The following is a 21,796-nucleotide window of genomic DNA, read 5'->3' on the forward strand; positions in this document are numbered from 1 at the left end:
AACCGTCCTTGACCAGCCAACCACATGGCTGAAATTCAGGGACTCTTTGGTGGAGCAATTACCAGTCAACTTCAGGGTATTATGATAAACTCTGATCTGGGGAGGAACCAGGACTACATAGATCAAGGCAGTTTTCTTCTTTGAGAAACTATCCCAGATATCATCATAGAGTCTTCTGCTCTTCCTCAACTACCAAAGGTCGGTGGACTACTAAACCCTTGGGGAAGCTTGGAGGAAAGGCTGGTGGTTTGGCCCTTTAAGGAGTGCAGGATTAGAAGGATAAAACAGAGACAAAAGCTTGGAGGTGTTTTCAGCAGAAATCTTTTCAGGAGCACTGTATTAGGGGGATGTAAGACTTGAGACGTACTTTAAACCCTATCTGAACCTCAAGTTTTAAAAATTATAAATGGAGGAATAATATTGCATTCTAATAAAATAAGCTAAAGAAGAAGAGGTGTAAGGTGTTGCTCTTGTTACTGTATCTAAAAGACAGATGTGTTGGTTTGTTGATCTTTCACCACCTTCCCACATCAGAGTTGAGGCAAGGGGTCAATCAGACTTTTCAAAGGGTTCACAGGAAGCTTGCTTTTCTTAGTCTACATTCTGAAAACTGGGGCCATTTCTATTTTGAGATTTGATTAACCACTCCAAATCTCCTCCACCACTGACAGCAAAGATGTTTAGATTTGGTAATAAGGAGGACACTGGCCAGCCTCCAGTTGGTTTCTGAAGCTAGCAGTCTTAGTCGTCCTCATCTTCTTTACTTTCTGAATTTGACGATGCTGATAACCCTTCCTTCTTGAAATTCTCTTCTTCCTTGGTTGGCCAGGATACAGTACCATTCTGGTCCTCATTTTAATTCTTCAACCACTTGTCTCTTTGCTGATTCCTATTCTATCTCTAAATATGGTAACACCAAAAGAATAAAAAGTAGACTACAGAAGAGGCAGAAGCATCAAAGAAGGTTGGCATTAAGCTTAGAGATATGTTTGAATGTAGTATGAGCACAGAATAAAGGGGCTGATAGAAAAATAAAGAGATTTGGCCAGGTACGGTGGCTCACTCCTGTAATCCCAGCACTTTGGGAGGCCGAGGCTGGCGGATCACCTGAGGTCGGGAGTTCGAGACCAGCCTGACCAACATGGAGAACCCCTGTCTCTACTAAAATTACAAAATTAGCCAGGCATGGTGGCACATGTCTGTAATCCCAGCTACTTGGGAGGCTGAGGCAGGAGGATCATTTGAACCAGGGAGGCAGAGGTTGGGGTGAGCTGAGATCGTGCCATTGCACTCTAGTCTGGGCAACAAGAGTGAAACTCCACCTCAAAAAAAAAAAAAAAAGAAAAAAAAAAGAGATTCTAGGAAGGGTGGGGAAAGTGTGGGAGCCAGTTCTTTCTGGAGTTTGTAAGTGATATAATTGAGAGCCCAGGTATAAGGAAGAAGACACTCAGCCCGAGACTGGAGAAAAATACTATCCTTTCACAAGGTATCTGCATTTTAAAAGGGGGAAGTTAGACAAAATAAATATTAACTTAAAAAGTAACTTCTCATGGAAGGAGAAATTTGAGGACTAAAGATTTTTCCAGTGACTCTCAAATTGCACTGCATTGCTAAGTGCTGATATTATTTTTCACAAGGGACCCGCCATGCTGACTAAAGTTCTTGAGTTGGTTCCATTTCTGCAGGAATTTAAAAGGTGAAGTCCTTGAAATATGAAAGTTGGCTAGAGTAGTCTCAGCTTTTCAGTGAGCAGTTACAGAATTGCAGAATTTGTTCATCTAGGTTTAATGTCATTATTTTAGAGATGGAGGGAACTGATATCCAAGAAGCTGATATAGCTTCTTCAAGATCACAGACTTAGACTGTGGTATTGCTGGAACTCCAACTTGTGTCTTCTCAGCTCGCAAGTTCTAGCCTCCATTCCCATACTCTGTGGCCAGCTGGTTTCTGCTGAGGGACCACCAGGAGTAGTTATGGTGAACTGCAAATGCCGTAGTTGGAGAAGAGTTAGGATGCATCCTGATGGTTTGTTAGGGAAGTCTAGTCACTGTATTATCTCTCTTCAAAACTGACAAAGCATTTCACACACATTATTTCATTTGGTCCTCAGTGAGACAGTCATTCTCATTCTAAAGATAAAATTAAATTGACTTTCATTCCTTTTAGATTTATTATTGTTTATTCTGTCTTATTCCTTCCTCCGTGTAAGTTTTTTTTTTTTTTTTGAAACGGAGTCTCGCTTTGTTGCCCAGACTGGAGTGCGGTGGTGCAATCTCTGCTCACTGCAAGCTCCGTCTCCCGGGTTCACAGGCCATTCTCCTGCCTCAGCCTCCCGAGTAGCTGGGACTACAGGCGCCCGCCACCACGCCCAGCTAATTTTTTGTCTTTTTAGTAGAGACAGGGTTTCACCGTGTTAGCCAGGATGGTCTCGACTTCCTGACCTCGTGATCTGCCTGCCTTGGCCTCCCAAAGTGCTGGGATTACAGGCGTGAGCCACTGCACCCGGCCTCCTCTGTGTAAGTTTTAAGCTAGTTAAATTCTGGTGCTCAAATTAGGTCTTTCTAAAGGCAGTGAAAGAAATCTCTGCGAAATAAGGAGGAACTCTTTTCTCTTCCTCTGCATCTGCAAAAAAGCAGATGATAATCTGCGTGATAAAACTGACCTTGCAAATGTTTTTTTTTAACAAAGGAGTCACGGGGTTATATAGACCAATTACAATACCACGTTAGAGATGGAAAGTTGAATAAACACCTTCCTTGTCTTCAAGGAATTCACAATGTATTTCGGGAGGCAAAAGCAAATAGATAGTTAGGATACAAAACAATGCTACAATTAAGGTATTAGCCAAGTACTAGAAGAACAGAAAACACTGGCATTTCATGATGAAGTCAGGCAATGCTTCACCAAGGAGGTGACATTTGATCTGAATAGTGAGTAAAGGAATAGTGAGTAAAGGAGAAGTTGGAGGTAAGAGCATTAATGCATGGGAGACATTAACTGCAAATGCTTGCAGGTGTTTTTTAAAAAAATCCTGGCTTTGTATGGTGGCTCACGCCTATAATTCCAGCACTTTGGGAGGCCGAGGTGGGAGGTTCACTTGAGGCCAGGAGTTCAAGACCAGCTTGAGCAACATAGTGAGACCCCTGTCTTTACAAAAAATTAAAAAATTAGCTGGGTGTGATGGCACGCTCCTGTGGTCCCAGCTACTGGGGAGACTGAGGTGGGAGCATCATTCGAGTCCAGGAGGTTGAGGCTGCAGTGAGCTGTGATTGCACCACTTCACTCCAGCTTGGGTGACACAGAGTGAGACCCTGTCTCAAAAAAGAAATCCAGAATGTTTTTGGGGAAGGGTAAGTGCCTCCTTGAGACTGAAGCATGGTGTTCTAAGTGAGAAATGATGGGAAAACTGGGACAGATAGGGGAACCTATGGAAACTGGGAACCATGAATGTTTTTAAGCAGAGTAACAACACATAAATTGCTTTTTAGGGACATAATGGCATCAACATGGAAGCTGGCTTATAAATGTTTGAAGGCTTTTGCAGTGGTCTAGGGTGAGGGGAAGGGAATTATAGGAACCTAAACCTGGACTATGGAAGTGGAGTGTTGGAGAGAGTGGCAGATTCTGGTGCAGCTGCTATGACCAACTTGATAGGACTTGACGACTCTGAATAGTGCAAGGAGGTGAGACAGAGGAGGCAATAATGACTTGGATTTCTAGTCTGGGAGGCTGGGTGGAGATTGTCACCTTCACTGAGACAGAAAGCACAGATATTAAGTAGTGTTGGAGGAACATAGTGAATTTAGTTTGAAACATGTTAAATTCAAGGTGCCTGGGAGATACAAATGAAGTGATTGGAAATATTGATTTGAACCTTGGGAATTTTAACTTAAATTATTATTATTATTATTATTTGCTTAAATGAGAAATCTAACAGAGTCAAAAAGTTTTAGTTTACTTTCAAGTTTGCAGATAAAGAGGAAAGTGTAATAATTATTTCTGGATTTGGCAAGGAAAACTCACAAGCACTTATAACTTTCAGTAAACAGAAATGTTTATTTAAATATTATTCCAGAAAAAAAAATTCACTAAGATAACCAGTCAGAATTACACTTTTCTGAGGTTAAAATTACTGTCATGTGGCAGAGCAATCTCTAAAATCCAGGAACGACTCCTTTGTTAGAAAAAACATTTGCAAGGTCAGTTTTGTCACGTAGATTATCATCTGCTTTTTTGCAGCTGCAGAGGAAAAGAGTTCCTCCTTATTTTACAGAGATTTATTTCATTGCCTTTAGAAAGACGTAATTTGAGCACCAGAATTTAACTAGTTAGCAACCAGAGTAAAGAAGACAAGCCTGAATAGCTTAAAACTTACACGGAGGAAGGAATAAGACAGAATAAAATAATTATTAACAATTGAATTTATGGAGCATGGAAGTTTTTGCATGAACCAGAGACAATTAGGCCCAGAGGTCTGTGGGTGATTCATTTTATTTATTTATTTATTTTTGAGACGGAGTCTCTCTGTCGCCCAGGCTGGAGTGCAGTGGTGTGATCTCGGATCACTGTAACCTTTGCCTCCCGGGTTCAAGCGATTAACCTGCCTCAGCCTCCTGAGTAGCTGGGATTACAGGCGTGCACCACCACACCCAGCTAATTTTTGTATTTTTAGTAGAGACGGGGTTTCACCATGTTAGTCAGGCCGGTCTTGAACTCCTGACCTCGTGATCTGCCCGCCTCAGCCTCCCAAAGTGCTGGGATTACAGGCGTGAGCTACCGCGTCTGACCTGTGGGTGATTCAGGTATGATGATTAAAGTTATGGATGTGGATGACTTCCTTTCAGGAAGATAGTTGAGGGCAAGGGAAGACAAAGCCCCAGGACAGCCCCAGAGGCCCCAGCATTCCTCTGCTGTGCATGACACATTAGATCTCACTGTACCAAAGGCCACAGTGGAGACCAGATCCAGGGCTTCTAGCCGGAAGTTCAGTGGATGCTCCTCTGCACTGGGGTGTAATTAAAGTCCCTGGTGATGCAACCATTTATTGCAATTTTAAATCATTATGATGACAATGTTTTGACATCCAGGAGTTTGGCTTCTGACAGAGTGACATTCCAATGCCAATTCTATGAAACTCTTCCCTATAATTTCTTTTGAATGTTTACTATGTGCTGTCCACACACCATGCCAAGCCCCTCTCAGAAATTCCGAGATATAATTACAGTTATCCTTCTTATTTTATAATAAAGGAAACTGAGGCTTAGAGGAACTGAGTGTTTTGTCCATGGGACTCGGTTCCCATGTGGTAGAGCCAGGACGCCAACTCACATGTTCTGGGTGTGACTCCAGAGCCCATGCCCAAGGTCTTGGCCACACTGTCCTCCTCTGTCCCCAGCTCTGTGGCCATGGCCTAGGTGTGAGGATGAAGTAAAGGGAGTGAAATAACTTCCTCATCACAGTGTAGGGTCTGCATTTGTCTGTATCTCCTGTCATAACCTGTGGAAGGAGGAGAACCAGTTTTTGCCTACTGCTTCCCTCCTTCACTGTCCTCCCTTGACTAGTTGATGATATGATGACTTCAGTTTAAGAATGGAAGAGCCTAGAGTAAAATTATTTGGGCCAGTTCTCATTAAAATACAGGTGTTTGCCTTGCTTTAAAATCAGGTAAAATCAGTCCTTAACAAAGCATACACTGTAAGGGGAGACACTGATATGGCACAGTACTACTTTTCTTTGGAACACACGTTATCACTAGGAGCTTTTGGATTTAAATTCAATGCACATTTTGTGAGCACTTTAACTTCATGAGGCGCAGGCTAGGTACTATTGTGGGGCAGAAATAAATGGGAGCATACTCTGTCATTTCAAGGATCTTGTGGTTTAGTGGTGAAGGCAGACTTCAGATGTGAGTTACAGACCAAGTCCGAATCAGAGTTATAAATACAAAATTGTACTTGGTATGTGGAGGCTTGCTTGGATAGGAGGGAATGCTGGAGAAGGGACTGGCAGAATGAGTAGGAATTAAAGAGGAAAAAGAGAGAGGGTAGATGATGTGGACAGGAATGGGAGATAGGAAAGTGCTGGGAATGGTAAGGAATTCTGGTTGTCCAGGATAGCTGGAGCCTAAGGGGTCAGACCACAATACCGAAAAGTTAGTCATCAAAGCCAATTGAGTGAATGCCAGTACTTGAAGGATCAGTTCATAGAAATAAATTTGCTGAATTTATCAAAGTATCAATTTATCTAACATTGTTTCAAGAAACATTCATTTTGGAGGCCAGGCATGGTGGCTTATGCCTGTAATCCCAGCACTTTGGGAGGCCGAGGCGGGAGAATTGCTTGAGGCCAGGAGTTTGAGACCAGCCTGGGCAACATAGTAAGATCACATCTCTATTACAATTTTAGAAAAGAAAAAGAAAAAGAAATCATTTTGAGTATTCAATGAGTATAAATATATCCTTTTTGAATGTAGCTAATGAATACATATTTTAGTGGCATTTAAGATATTTTTGTTCAACTTCTTGAAGCTAATGATTTAATCTTATGGTTGTATTTTTGTAAATATAGTCATGAATATTTTTCTGAACATATTCAACATATATATTTTTCTTGTGAATGTAATAACAACTGCAACAATTCCTAGGGGAAATTTCCACTTTCTACTCTTATCCTTTTGATTTTTCATAGTCAATTCTATTTTGCCACCCCACTGGTGTTTTTAATCTCTTTCTTCAATTTCACTGAAATTCAATAAACACAACAAATCTACTCATTGTCAAAAATTGAAGAAACTTTTTCCCATAGTTTTCATAGTTCATAACATATCTTATTGGGTGGGAGAAATTTGTCACATTTTATGAATTTCACAGATGATGAGTGAGGTGGTTTTCATGATATGCAACCTGCCTGGCTCTCAGCTGTCTCCAGCTTCACAAGATTGTGAGGGCAGAGAGGAGCATAGAGTTAGGAAGGAGGATAATGGGAAAAAAGAGGGGGAAACTGAGTAGAAAGGGGAAGTATGAAGTCCCAGAATGTTGGTCCTGGCTCCTCCCAACCTCTCTAGACCACCTGGATTCATTCAGTACAAAGTCTGTGAACACATTTCCAGTAAGTGACTACAACTGGTAAATTGCTCGTTAGGTGAATTTACGTATTGGCAGAATTGCCCCGGTGGGGATGTATAGAGCTCATGGGACAGGACGTGTGTGACATGGGGTTCCCACAGCTGACAACAGGTGGAGGGATGGCTTCATCAGAACTAAGTTTTAGAAAGAGAAGAAGCTTATGTGAGTCTTTACTCAATGAAGAAATTAGACCCCACAAAGAATGAAGGGCACTATAAACTTCCCTTCTCCCACACAGTTTCTCTCCAAGATGTTTCAGTCCCACATTATGTAAGACTGGCCCATATTACTGAGACCAGCTTTATGTTGAGGGACTGAACATTACCTTAGATATACATTACATTACAGTCCTACATTATGTGGGACTGAAACATCTTGGGGAGAAATATTGATTGAAGGGACTCCCTTTACCTAAATGTATATGGGCTTTGTATGAATTATGGATGCACGAGAGCGTCCAACCATCTGGATCTAACAAAGATGTCAAAGTAAAGGATGAAATTCACTATTTTATGGGAGTGAATTTGGTTAACTTCATATATTCCTTTGAAGACAAGGACTATTTCTTTTCTTAATTTTTTATTTTTATAGATTTACAGTACAGAGATTTCTTAAAAAACTAAAAATAGAACTCCCCTTTGATTCCCACTATTGAGTATCTACCCAAAGGAAAGGGACTTTTTCCTAACACAAACTTAGGATATGTTGTGTTCTCCAAAGGGAATGGGAAGTGGTGATGAAGATTAAAAAAAAAAGTCCTTACTAATTTTGCTTTAAACAAGTCTATATAGTCTGATTTAAAAATAAAAGTGCATTTGCCATGTATATTTTTCATATATATATATGTGTGTGTGTGTGTTTATGATCATTTTTCAAAACTGCAAATTGCTTCATGGTTTATTGCCTTTGTCAATAGTTCTCACAAGGAACTCCCAATACTTCTATACGGCGACTCAACTCTTTCTCTCTATCCCATCATTTTCCTGCCTTTTTGTTTTTTTTTTTTTTTTTTATGTTTGTACCTTTCTTTTAAGTCCTCTGTCATTTCTTTGTTAGATCATCTGGCCAATTGCAAGTCTTCTCACTCAACCTCCCTGTTTCTTTCCTCTAATCCCTTTAATTTATCTTGTGCATGTCTGCCATAATGATCTTAAAGCATAATAATTATGTCATTCCTCAGCTTAAAAACAAACATTCACATCAAAAACAAGCACTTTTATTCCCCAAGGAGTAAAGTCTATGAATTTCCTAAACTTGACGTTTACATCCCACTCAGACACATCTGTAAACTGTCCCTTCCCCATCTCAGACATTCAGCCAAATTGGAATATTATCTATTGTTCCCTCAACATGCCCTGCATCCATTCTGCAGTGTCTTCAGTATACCTAGTGCAGATGCAGTCTCCTCTGCAAAGCCCACTCCCTCCCTCCACTTGGAATCAATCTCTCTTCTGAGCTCACAGCTTCTGCAGAGGCCAATCCTTACTGTCTTGTGCTGTAACATTTGTGCTCAGGGGTTTTTTTGTTTTGTTTCCACTCCAGGCTGTCATTTCCTTGAAGACATGGATCCCATAACATTTATTCTAGTGCTTTATGACAAGTTGGAATTCAATGACTATTTATTAAATTGAGTTCTTTCAGCAGAAAAACATCAGCGAAGCAGCAGGCCATGCACCCCCCAAAAACTCCATCTGGGGCTCTTCATAGAAAAAGGAAAATGGCAGCCTGGCCCTTCTCCAGGCTGTGGAAAGTCTCTGATCCAATTCTCTTCCAAATGACCTTGATCGCTGCTCTGTTGCCTGCTGTTCTTGGTGAGTAGTGGGAAACAAGCTCAAATCAGCAACAAACAATGAAGATCATCTGTGCATTCACTTTTAAGGCTAAAAAAAATGATGACTGAGCTTCTAGCAGAGACCCAGCTTCATCAACAAGTGGTTTATTTGACAGGCTAGAACTTAGGGAAATTTGCTTTACACATAAAGGAAATAGTGTTATAGACACTTTCCCCTAGATTTTTATTTCTCCAGGAAAGAATTTCTCTCCCAACCATCTATATGGATGATAATATGGACAGATCTATATTATCTATTACTATGACTAAACAATTTTCACTGTTTGTGGGTTTATTCAGGGGGTGCTTAAAAAGTAAATCAGCCTGGTACTTAATTCTTGCAAAAAAAGCAAAGTTAAGATTTTTATGCTTCAAGGGCTCCATGCTTCTTCCTCCATATCATTCAAAATCAAACAGATGTAAAAAAAATAAATTAAAAATGTTATTTTTACCCATTTCCCAGCCACCCTGTTTCCCTTCCCTGAGGCAACCAAAGTTATATAATGTTATTTGAATACAATAATATGTTTCTGTTGAGGCAACTTGTAGTGACTTCTGACTTTGCACAGATGCATTTGAGTCAGCAGATATGGGGAGTCAGGTTGGTGAAGTTCATGTCTTTCTTCTTTTTCAGATAAATTATCCCATATGTAGCAGAGAAGGGAAAAAAATTCTGCCTTTTATCATTATTGTTTATTGTTATCATTGTCATTATCATTTGTGAACAAATATATATTACTGATCACTCACTAGGTGTATTGAACAGAGAGTATAATAGGAGTTATGATTTTTCTTGACTAGAGATCATTCTTGAAAAGAACGATCCCTGCTCTAAACATCACACTTCAGAAACAATAAGATGCTGTGTCCCAAGGTATAAGTTTTGGTGCTCCTTCTCATTTTGGTGTCCAGGCAATTGTGGTCCTCCACCCACTTTATCATTTGCTGCCCCGATGGATATTACGTTGACTGAGACACGCTTCAAAACTGGAACTACTCTGAAATACACCTGCCTCCCTGGCTACGTCAGATCCCATTCAACTCAGACGCTTACCTGTAATTCTGATGGCGAATGGGTGTATAACACCTTCTGTATCTGTAAGTATCAACATTTATTTTTTTCCTTTGCTTTTCCTATCTTTGGAAAGTTGTCTCAGAAACTAAATTTTCTGAATCTTTAGTCACCAAGAAGACAGTTTGTCAATTACTGATTTCAATGTACATACTTGTGGCATTTTTTGAAAAAGCAAAACAGAAAAATTAGGGGTAGTTAATTGCATTGAAAAATAACTCTGTTCTTTTTTTTTTTTTTTTTTTTTTTTTTGAGACAGAGTCTAGCTCTGTCTCCCAGGCTGGAGTGCAGTGGTGGAATCTTGGCTCCCTGCAACCTCTGCCTCCTGGTTTCAAGTGACTCTCCTGCCTCAGCCTCCTGAGTAGCTGGAATTACAGGCGTGCACCACCACACCTGGTTAATTTTTCTGTTTTAAGTAGATACAGGGTTTCACCATATTGGCTAGACTGGTCTCAAACTCCTGACCTCAAGTGATCTGCCTGCCTCGGCTTCCCAAAGTGCTGATATTACAGGTATGAGCCACTGGGCCTGGTTAGAAGTCTATTCTTTATAAAGTAATCCACCAAACACTTCTTTCAAGAAAAGAACCACAAATTTCATTATGATCTATTGAAAATCAGATTCACTTTTTAAAAAATTATAAAAAAGGTAGGTGGCTAGAAAGAGGCAATGCAGTTTTCAAAAGAACCTCACTCAAAATATTTGCTGTGTTTTGAAGAAAAGTTATAATTCACTGTCAGTTGGGAATGCATTCTGTGATGTTTTCCAATAGCAGGGGTATACAATCAATACTTTCTCTTTTTTGTTCCTTTTGTGACATGCATTTTTTAGTGGCCTAGGTTCTAAGTACATGCCATAGACATAGAATGAAGCAAAGCTCTCCCGTCCCTGGTCAGCTTATTAAGTCCTGGACCACGTGTTCTGCTGCTGCAATTATTTAACTGGTCATTTTTCTCTATTGGTAAAATGTACCAGAAAAAAAGGTGATCAAATTTTGTATTAATTTTGAGGTGAGTCAGGGTTAGAAATAAGTTTGAATCTAAATCTCTCTGTGTTTCTGGAAGCAGAGGTGAACCTTGGTTAATTTCTTTTCTTTTCTAATGCCATATCTGTGAGTACTTGGAAGTACTAATCATCATTTAAATTTTTCTCCCAGACAAACGATGCAGACACCCAGGAGAGTTACGTAATGGGCAAGTAGAGATTAAGACAGATTTATCTTTTGGATCACAAATAGAATTCAGCTGTTCAGAAGGGTGAGTGTGAGGTAATCTATGAACAATTCTTTTATATTTATTTAAAAAATAGCTGAAGTGTTCGTATATTTCAAAATTTAAAATGATGTAAAAAGATAGACGTTGAGAATTCTCATTTCCATCCTATCTCCATACACCACATTCCTTCCCGTCCTCAAGCAAAGATCTATTTTTATTGGTTCGTATATATCTTTCTAGTGTTTCCTTATATAAATACAAGCTAAGAAGTTAGCATATATTCTTATTTTCCCCCCTTTCCTCTAATGAACCTAGTATTGAATCTTGCTTTATTGTTTACTTATCAATGTATACTGGAGATATTTCCATGTTTGCGCATAGAGAGTTTCCTCATTAATTTCTTTTTACAACTGCATAGAATGTTGTTGTGTAGTTGTGTCATGGCTTTGCCGTCCTTGTGATGGATCCATGGATGTTTCTAATCTTTTGCTATTCTGAACAATGCTCTGAAGTATTCTCTTGTATGTGTGTCATTTTATACATATGTAGTTACATCTGCAGGATAGCTTCCTAGAGGAGGCCTTTCTGGCTCAAAGAGTATGTATATTTGAAAATTTGAAAGATATTGTCAGACTGCTTTCCCTAAGGGTTTCATGGTTTTGCAGAGTATGTAAATGTCTGTCTCTCCACAAACTCTCCAACTGTGTTGTCAAACTTTCGAAAACTTGTCAAATTTTTGAATTTTTCCCAATGTAAGAGGTGAAAATAAAATCTCACTATAGTTTCACTGTACATTTCTCTTATTGTCAGGGAGGTTAAGTATAGTTTTATATGTCCAGGGGATGTTTGTATTTATTTGTGCACTAGTTAGCATGTCTGATGCCTGGTTGTTGTTTTTTTTCCTTAACTTGTTGAACTTTTTATTCTTAAGTTTTAGGATGTATACATTTAGACATACACATGAGTCTGTGCATTGCAGGATTTAGGCCTTGATTCTGATATATACTGTAACTTTTCCCACAGTGTGTGTGTGTGTGTGTATATGTGTGTGTGTGTGTGTGTGTGTGTGTGTGTGTGTGTGTGTGTATAATGTTTTTGACTTGGCTATTGGTATTTTTTCCCCTTAAGGAGAAATTATTTGTATTTATGTTGTTAAATTCATCAATTTCCCTTTTAGAAATGGCTTTTGGATTTTATGTCCTAAGGCCTTCCCCAATATAAGGTTTAAAAAAAATCGCCTATATTTCCTCTACTTCTTTTATATTTTCATATTTTTTAATATTCAAAGCTTTAATTTATTTGGAGTTAATATACAGTATACAGTATGAGGTACAGATTTTAGACTATATCTTTTCATATTGCTTTCCTGTTACGCCAACACCACTTATTTAAAAGTTTGCCTTTACTGATTTAAGATGCTCTTTGATATTATATAAAATTCATATACTTATCTAGGTCTATTTCTGGACTTTCTATTCAATGCCCGTATTTTTCCTGTACATTTATGTATGCGTTTCACAGTCATTTAATAATTGAAGCTTTATAATATGTTTTAATAGCCAATATGGGTAGAGCTATCTTATTGCTCTTCTTTTTTGAAGTTTTCCTGACAGTATGTATTTATTTTTCTATAAGAACTTTAAAGTTAGACATATTTTAAAATCAGTGTTAGATTAGTTTTAAAATTAATTTTAGGTGAAGTGCAGTGGCTCACACCTGTAATCCCAGCACTTTGGAAGACCAAGGTGGGAAGATCTCTTGAGTCCAGGAGTTCGAGACCAGCCCGGGCAACACAGGGAGACCTTGTCTCTACAAGAAATTAAAAACATTAGCCGAGTGTGGTAGCACGCACTTCTAGTCCCAGCTATGCAACAGGCTGAGGTGGCAGGATCACTTGAGCCTGGGAGGTCGAGGCTGCAGTGAGCCATGATAGTGCCACTGCACTACAACCTGGGTGACAGGGCAAGACCTCATCTCGAAAAATAAACTGGTAAAATTAACTTTAGGAGAATAGATATTTTATAATGTTGACTCTCTCTAGTTAAGAATATGTTACCGTAGAGAAGGCAAAACTATTCCTCTACCCTCTTAGGGTCTCCACCAGGCCTGAGAATTAAGTTGACATGAAACAGATTAACAGGAGAAAAGCACACAGGTTTTATTTTAACAAGTACATAGGAAACTTCACAGGAAAATGAAGACCCAAAAAGTGGTCTTTGTACAAAGTTTCTTTGTACAGATTTCTCTTGGCCTTGACTCCCTGCCTCTGGTGATAAGAGTGTTCTTTTCCTTCAGGTACAGGGAAGGTATCTTTCCTGTGAGAGTTTCATGTCCTGCCTTCAGGAAGAAAAGGGGAGGTCAGAGTGCCCTTCCTGCATCTTGCTGTGTTTCAAGTGCTTTTAACTCAAAAAACAATCTTTATGCCAAACTGGTCTATTTTGGCATATTCTGCTACCCTTTGCTATGCTTTCCTCAGTTCGTCTTAGTCTTTTTTTCCTTGTTTCTTCATGTGTGTTTCAGCTTTCCTCACATAGATTTTGCATTTCTTGAAGAGTTTAAACCTCTGGCAAAACCAAACAAAAAATGTTTTTGGTATTTTAAATGGATTATTTATCCAATTTGTATTGTAACTAGTTTATCTATCATCTATCTATCATCTATCTGTCTGTCTGTCTGTCTGTCTGTCTGTCTGTCTATCTATCTATATCTATCTATCTATCATCTATCTATCTATCATCTGTCTATCTATCTATCTATCTATCTATCTATCTATCATCTATCTACTATTGATTTCTGCATGTTAGTTTGATATCTCAGCCAACTTTCTAAATTTATTATGCATTAGTTCATTCTCATGCTGCTATGAAGAAATACCCAAGACTGGGTAATTTATAAAGAAAAGAGGTTTAATTTACTCACAGTTCCACATGGCTGGTAAGGCCTCAGGAAACTTACAATCATCGCAGAAGGCAAAGGGGAAGAAAGGCACCTTCTTCACATGGCGGCAGGGAGGAGAAGTGTTGAGTAAAGGGGGAAAAGCCCCTCATAAAACCAACAGACCTCATGAGAAACTCACTCACTATCACGAGAATAGCATTGGGGTAACTGCCCCCATGATTCAATTACTTCCCACTACATTCCTCCCATGACACATGGGGATTATAGGAACTACAATTCAATATGAGTTTTGGGTGGGGACACAGCCAAACCATGTCATATTATTTGTAAAAATTTAAAAAAATTCTTTCAGTTGAATTCTCTTAGGATTATCTGGTTTGTAATCACATCATTTCAATGATTCTTTTACCTCCTACTTCCCAATTTTTAGATTTCCATTTTCTTTTTCTTATCTACTTATGTTAATTATGTCAGTCAGGATTTACCTGGAGAAATAGAACCGCAGGATTTATTGTAGGGACCTGACTTGACATAGGTGTGGGAGATAGTTAAATGGTGTTTACAGGAGGCTGTTCCTTCAATGTCTGTTGCTGTGGCCTGAAGTAAGCAGGGCAGGGACTCAGGAAGGGAAGATAGACATGAACTGAGTGCTTCAAGGACAAACTGGAACCTGCAAAGATGAGCGAGTAAAGCCCACCATTGTAAACTGGAATTCATCTTGTTCTTTCACTGCCCCTTAGCCTTCAACTTCAAAAATGGGTATGTCCTGTAGAAGTTGTCCGTCACAGTGCTAATGTACTTGGATCAGAAGCCAGGGTACATGAAGGAGGAGATCCTGCAGGAGCTGGCTCTGCTGTGGCCTGGTTGAGCCCTCTACTAACAAAGTGATAGAACAGAGAAACAACAGTGCTTGTGAACTGCAGTCACATCCTGTGCTCTGCCCTGACCTTTCTAGCATATGGAGTATGGCTCTACTAATTCACATCTACCGTCTTTTATGGGCCATACTAACTTGGCATTATGTATGGAAGATAATTCTGGGAAACATAATTACAGCTTAGCTAAGTTGACACAACATAAATCTACCACAGCTCACTCCTTGTCAAATGTGATATTTGTATACACTAGTTTTAACCATACTTAGCTTAATTTCCAAATAAAGTCAATAGCAAAGTAATACTCACATTTTACATAATGCAACTATCCCTCATACACCCAAAAACATGGAAATTCTTTTCCTAAAAGAGAATTCCCTTTGAGCTGAGTCATATCTCCCCTTTGATATTCTATAACTTAAATATTGAGATGTAAGGTAAGCCACTACAAACACATCTTATACAGTAGGGGAAGGAAAGGGGTAAAAAGAAACACAATTAATGTAATGTCCATTTATATTAAAATAAGAAAGAAATATTCACAACTTTTATGGTCCTTGTTTATGCAACTGGTCATGTGGTTGTAGCAGATATTTATAACGATGTTTCTGTTACTTATTCCATATTCTCTTTGCCCTCAGCAAGCACTTCATCTGTCGTTGGTTCCTTGCCCAATGGGGTCACCTAAACTTTTATTCTTGAATGGTCTGGGCCATCAGCAGTCCTGCCTGATTTGGGTTATTATAGTTTTTTGTTGATTTTAATTATAGGGCATTGGAGTGTAAGGGGGTGCACCCAGTATGTCTGGGTGCCCTGCATTCCAGACATACTCATCTTTACCATCACTGTGCAGAAGCAATCTAATTTTTCCCTTCATTATCAGGATTAGTCACACCAACCATCAAAGTGGACTCCTTCTTTGCCTTACCTTCACTTGCATGAGGGTCCAGAGTTGACAGGTCTCAACCTCCAAGCTTAATTTAGGGTTTTCAGGTAAAATACAGGATGCCCAGTTAAATTTGATTTTCGGGTAAACAACAAATAATTTTAGTGTATGTTCCATGCAACATTTGGATCACACTTAAACTAAAAAAAGTGTTCATTGTTTACATGAAATTCACATTTAACTAGGCACCCTGTATTTGTATTTGCTAAATCCGGCAACTCTAATTTTTGGAACTCTTGCTGCGTCCCCCAGTAGAAGCATTCTTCCACTGAAGACTTCCAAACTGACTGGGCCAGGTGCAGTGGCTCACGCCTGTAATTCCAACACTTTGAGAGGTTGAGGTGGGAAGATCACCTGAGCCCAGGAGTTCAAGACCAGCCTGAGCAACATAGCGAAACCCATCTCTAAAGAATAAAAAAATTTAAAAAACAGAAAATAAAAGAAATAAAAAGACTTCTAGATTAACCAAGAATGTTACTTATTTTTATGTTTTAAAATTTACAGTTGTTTTATGGCGCATCATGATATACAATCAACTTTCATTAATATTTCAACAGGCACTGGAATGAAGGATTTTCTTTATTAGTAGTATATAGAGTTTGCTATATACACATCAGATTTACTTTCTTTTTTTGAGACAAGTTCTCCCTCTATCACACAGGCTGGAGTGCAGTGGTGCAGTCTTGGCTTACTGTAGCCTGGACTGCCCTGGCTCAAGCAATCCTCTTGCCTCAGCCTTCTGAGTAGCTAGGCCTACAGGCATGTGCCATGATGCCTGGCTAAAGTTCAAACTTTTGTAGAGATGAGGTCTTGTTATGTTGCTCATGCTTGTCTAGAACACCTGGGCTCAATGGATTCTCTTGCCCCGGTCTTCCAAACTGCTGAGATTACAGGCATGAGCCACTGTTCTCAGTCAGATCTACTTTCTTGATAAGTTGTTTTGAATATTTTATTATGCTTGTCTTTATATACCTTAAGCATGAAGATAGGAGTTAAAGTAAATTAATAATTTTATAATTATTTTAACCATTATAAAATAATTTAATGATAATTAGCATATTTTGATTATTTTTCTTGTCTCATATACTTCTGTTTTATTAAAATTGCTGCTACATACATATTTTGCTACATAAAGATTCATAGCTCTTCACTGAAAATCAAAATCTTTAACATATAAAGTACCCATTGTGTGTCATTTAATAATCTTGGTTCTGATGTCCAACTTATGGGATATTAAAATTATTATCTTTGGTTTTCTTTTGAATTTGCTTGGTATAATTTTATGCTGTCTTTTATTTTTAATCTGTCTGAAACACTTTTAGGTTTGTCTCCTGTATATAACAGAGCTGAATTTTCTCCAATTAAAAGCTGTTTTTCTTTCATTAGGAGTTTACATTTATTGATGTGAGTGATACTTATAGACTTGGTTTTATCATATTATTTCATATTTTGTTATATATGTATGTGTATATTTATTTTCTATTAAAAATATATGGTGGTATTTAGGAAGGTTCAAAATTTGTTTCTAGTGGTGACCTATATACATTTAAATTTATATAATATCATTATTCCTCTTTATCTTTAGACAGTTTAAATTGGTTCCTTGTTATAAACAACAATAAACTTATCTTGTATTCTTACCCCTCCTTCACCCCTTCTATCTTCCCTACCAGTAAATTTGTATCATTTGTATTATCTTAGTGTTTATTTTGTATTTAACATTAATGTGAAATATTCATATGTGTCTATGGTTGCTTTCATTCTCAACTTTGCAAATGATCAGGCAATAAGGGAATTTATTTTACCCTCTCTTCCCTGTCTCTATTTTTTCTTAGTTATACTATTTCAGTGCTGTCTGAGCATATAACATTTATATTTCCTTCAGTCACACTTAAAATCACATTTGTTTTTTCTTAGATCTGCATGTACAATGTTTGCTACCATTTTTGTTTATTTTGGCTAAAGTTGCCATTGTCATCTCTTGGTTGGCTGTAGTTTGTCCTATGGTGGTTTCCAAAAAAAAGTCCCAAGTGAAAATTATTCTTTGAGTTCTTGCAGGTTCAGATAATATATCTGAGGCATTGATACCTAGAAGATAATGGGGCTTGATATAGTCCTTGGCTCATCCTTTCTTTTCTTGGATGTCTTATAGGTACTGCTGCACTATCTTTTGCTAGTGAATACTACTGATCTGAAATTTCTTCTCATATGGCTTGATCTTTGTTTGACTATCTAAATTATTATTCTTTATCTTTGAAACCTAATACTTTTACTCTTAGTTGTTTTGGTAGAAATCACTTGGTTTAATTTTTTGCTACTATGTGATGTGCAATTTTAATATGTAGATTGACGTATTGTTTTATTTTAGTAACATTTACTTGAAATATATATATTTTTTGAGTCAAGGTCTCACTCCCTTTGCCCAGGCTGGAGTGCAGTGGCACGATCATAGCTCACTGCAGCCTCAACTTCCTGGGCTCAAGCAATCCTCCCACCTCAGCCTCTCAAGTAGCTGGGACTACAGGAGAGCAGCACCATGCCCAGCTGATTTTTGTATTTTTAATAGAGATGGGGTTTTGTCATATTGGCCAGGCTGGTCTTGAACTCCTGGTCTCAAAGAATTCACCTGCCTCAGCGTCCCAAAGTACTGGTATTACAGGAGTAAGCCACCACACCTGGCCTGAAACAAATTTTTAAAAAGCTATTTTGTTCTACTTGGATTCCTTCTTTAGGTTATCCAATTAAGCCTATGTTGATTCTCTTTTGCTTGTTACCTATATCTATTAGTTTTCTCTTATCTTTTCCGTTTGTTTCATTTTTGTTGATTTTCTCATTTTTATCCTCTGTTTTCCTTATTGTGTATGGCTTCCATAAGGGAAAGTGAAAAGAATCAGAACTAAGATGCTGTTGAAACACTAAGGTGTTCCCATTGAAACAACCAGAAACAATATTTTGCACTTAGTCTCTGGGCTAGGTTGGAAAAACTACATTTTAAAGAAATTTTAAAGTAAAGAAATACTTAATTGTAGTTGTAGTTGAGATATATTTTCTTGAAGTTATTATTCAATAAATTCCACAGGCTCTTAGATTGCTGAAGGTGACATTTGCTTTAGTGTTCTATCACATTGTAAGTTTATTCCTTGATGATGCTACAATTTGATATCATTGATGATTATCAATATCCTTGATGATGCTACAATTTGTAATCATTCATATCTTTTGTTTTTTTCTGTTAGCATAAGATAGAGGGCAGGAAGACGAACTGAGGAAAGAGTAGGACATATCAAGAGCCGTAAAAATGGAAGTGGTGAACTGAAAGCTAATGATGTATGGGAATAAGACACCCACCTGGAAGTCAGAGGAAGCTTCAAGCCAAAGATGGGGAGATTGTGGACTCAGTAATCTAGCTGGTACTCTCACCCAGAGACAACCACAGAACACGCTGAAGCCAGCCTTTTATTGTTGTGCTTGAGCTCTGGATGAACTGCATTCCTGATCCCTAGTAGATGCTCAGTAACAGATTAAGGAATGAGGGTCCAAAGGAAAAAACACACGCATCTCATTGCAGTAATGAAATTTTACTGAATGGAGTGCTTAATGGGAAATGATATCCAAGAACATATGATTTCCTTATTTTAATATTGAGTAACAATTCTATTTGCTCAGACCTCTTTAATTTAATTTAGGGTAGGAGGAATTCCATTAAAATCTTTGATCTATCTTATTCAGATTTTTCTTAATTGGCTCAACCACTAGTCGTTGTGAAGTCCAAGATAGAGGAGTTGGCTGGAGTCATCCTCTCCCACAATGTGAAAGTAAGTAAAGACTCTTCTGACTTGACTATCAATTTAAACTCTGTTAGGTAATAAAGTCCCTGTGCATCTTTACAGGTATGTGTACCTTCCATTAGAATTTGCATGAATTTTAGATTTATCATGATGCCTTCGCTGAGTATTTCTTTCTCTTCACTCACTTACCTCAGTTGTCAAGTGTAAGCCTCCTCCAGACATCAGGAATGGAAGGCACAGCGGTGAAGAAAATTTCTACGCATACGGCTTTTCTGTCACCTACAGCTGTGACCCCCGCTTCTCACTCTTGGGCCATGCCTCCATTTCTTGCACTGTGGAGAATGAAACAATAGGTGTTTGGAGACCAAGCCCTCCTACCTGTGAAAGTAAGTCATAATGATGAATTCTGCATCAAAATGTTTGCTCTCTTTTGTTTAAAAGAGAAAGAAAGGTAAATTTATTGGGGGGCAAATGGAAAATTCAAAGATAAACTAACTATCGCTCTGATGCAATCATTTATTTGGCCACCTGATACTTATTGCATGTTTGTTTAGAATATAAAAGCCATAAAAATGGGAGTGGTGAACTGGGAGCTAACAGTATATGGGAACAAACAGCAACAACATCTCACTGGTTTGGTGAAGTAAAAGTTTATTCTCATTTACACTGAGTTTGTTCCATGTCCAGGAGACTCTCCAGGGCAGCCGTAGTCTGTGTTAGCTTAGCAACTAGCTCAGCAAGCCAGGTTGCTTTGATCTTATGGCACCTCCATTTCAAAATGTGCCTTCACAGTCTCTTCAGTAGACGAAGAGAGAAAGGCCAATTGTGTCCTGGCTAAGAGCTTTGGCCTGGAAGCAACCACATATCACTTTCCATTACAGCCTTTTGTCTCAAACTAGAGAGTAGCCTCAGAGGACTGGGGAATGTAGCCTTGGTCTGTTCAAGAAGCGGAAATGAAAATATAATTTGCACCTATAAGATGAAACACATATGCCTGTAGGGCAAGCAAAACCTGAGTGCCAGAAGGGCAACAGGACAAAGCAAGTGATAATTGAGTCAAAAGATATGTTAGTTAGTGTGCTAGTCTAAGGAATCTTACTTTATATTACTAAGTTTACACAGTATTGCTTACTAACCCACCACAGGACACAATCAGACGAGGGGCACAAAAGAGCAGGATACTGCCAACAGTGCAAAATGCCTGGAGTTAGATCTGCAACAAGTGAAAGCGGCAATAGCTGAGGGCAGAAAAGTGGGCAGGGGCCAGGTTATGAAGGGCCTTGTGTTTCAGTCTCAGGCATTCAGAACAATCATGGAGGGGAGACTTTGAAAGGCTTTAACAAGGGGAATAAATGTGCTGCATTTTAGAAAGATAACTCTGGCTGTGGGACAACAACCTGAAGTGGGACAAAACTTAACTGACAGTCACCTGCTATGGCTTGAATGTGCATCTCCAAACTCATGATAAAACCTAAGACCCAATGTGATCGTTTTAACAGGTGGAACTTTTGGGGAAGTGATTAAGTCATGAGGGATCCACCCTCATGAATGGGATTAGTGCCCTTATAAAAGAGGTTGAAGGGAGAGCGCTAGTCTCTTTTGCCCTTCTGTCTTGTGAGGACAGAGCTTTCATCCCTTCCCCCATGTGAGGACGCAGCAAGAAGGCACCATCTTGAAAGGGGAGAGCAAGCAGACATTGAATCTGATGGTGGCTAGATCTTGAGCTTCCCAGCCTCCAGAACTGTGAGAAAGAAATTTCCATAATTTATAAACTAGTGAAAGTATTTTGTTATAGCAGCAGGAACAGACTAAGACAGCACCTGTGCAACCCTCCAGCCAAAAACTGAAGGTGGCTTCAGCGGTAGCATGGCAGTGGGGCTGGACAGAAGTTAAGGGATTGTAGAGGAATTAAAGTAGCAGAATTGCCAGGACTGGATGACTGCCAGGATGTGGGTGAGGGGTGTGAGATAGGGGGCGGCTTGTTTTCTGCTTGTCGGGGCATGGGTCTCTGATCCCCTGGGCTGCCTCTGCACTATGTAATTACCATG

The 21,796-nt window shown here is 38.8% G+C and overlaps 1 protein-coding gene across 3 annotated transcripts in view; it reads left to right on the plus strand.

Annotated features, from left to right (window-relative positions):
- C4BPA (complement component 4 binding protein alpha) overlaps positions 1-21,796 on the plus strand; it is a 40,740-nt gene continuing 18,944 nt past the window's right edge. Inside the window, exons 1-6 of one of the 3 annotated variants that reach the window (XM_005273252.5) lie at positions 1-198; positions 8,667-8,935; positions 9,868-10,053; positions 11,184-11,283; positions 19,690-19,775; positions 19,943-20,134. In XM_005273252.5, the coding sequence (XP_005273309.1) occupies positions 8,794-8,935; positions 9,868-10,053; positions 11,184-11,283; positions 19,690-19,775; positions 19,943-20,134 (706 nt within the window). In that variant the 5' untranslated portion in view covers positions 1-198; positions 8,667-8,793. The remainder of the gene's footprint in view (positions 199-8,666; positions 8,936-9,867; positions 10,054-11,183; positions 11,284-19,689; positions 19,776-19,942; positions 20,135-21,796) is intronic. The other 2 variants (XM_005273251.3, NM_000715.4) reach the window with 2 other exon arrangements.

The sequence above is a fragment of the Homo sapiens genome, chromosome 1, assembly GCF_000001405.40.
Source record: "Homo sapiens chromosome 1, GRCh38.p14 Primary Assembly".
In the NCBI taxonomy this organism is placed as follows: Eukaryota; Metazoa; Chordata; class Mammalia; order Primates; family Hominidae; genus Homo; species Homo sapiens.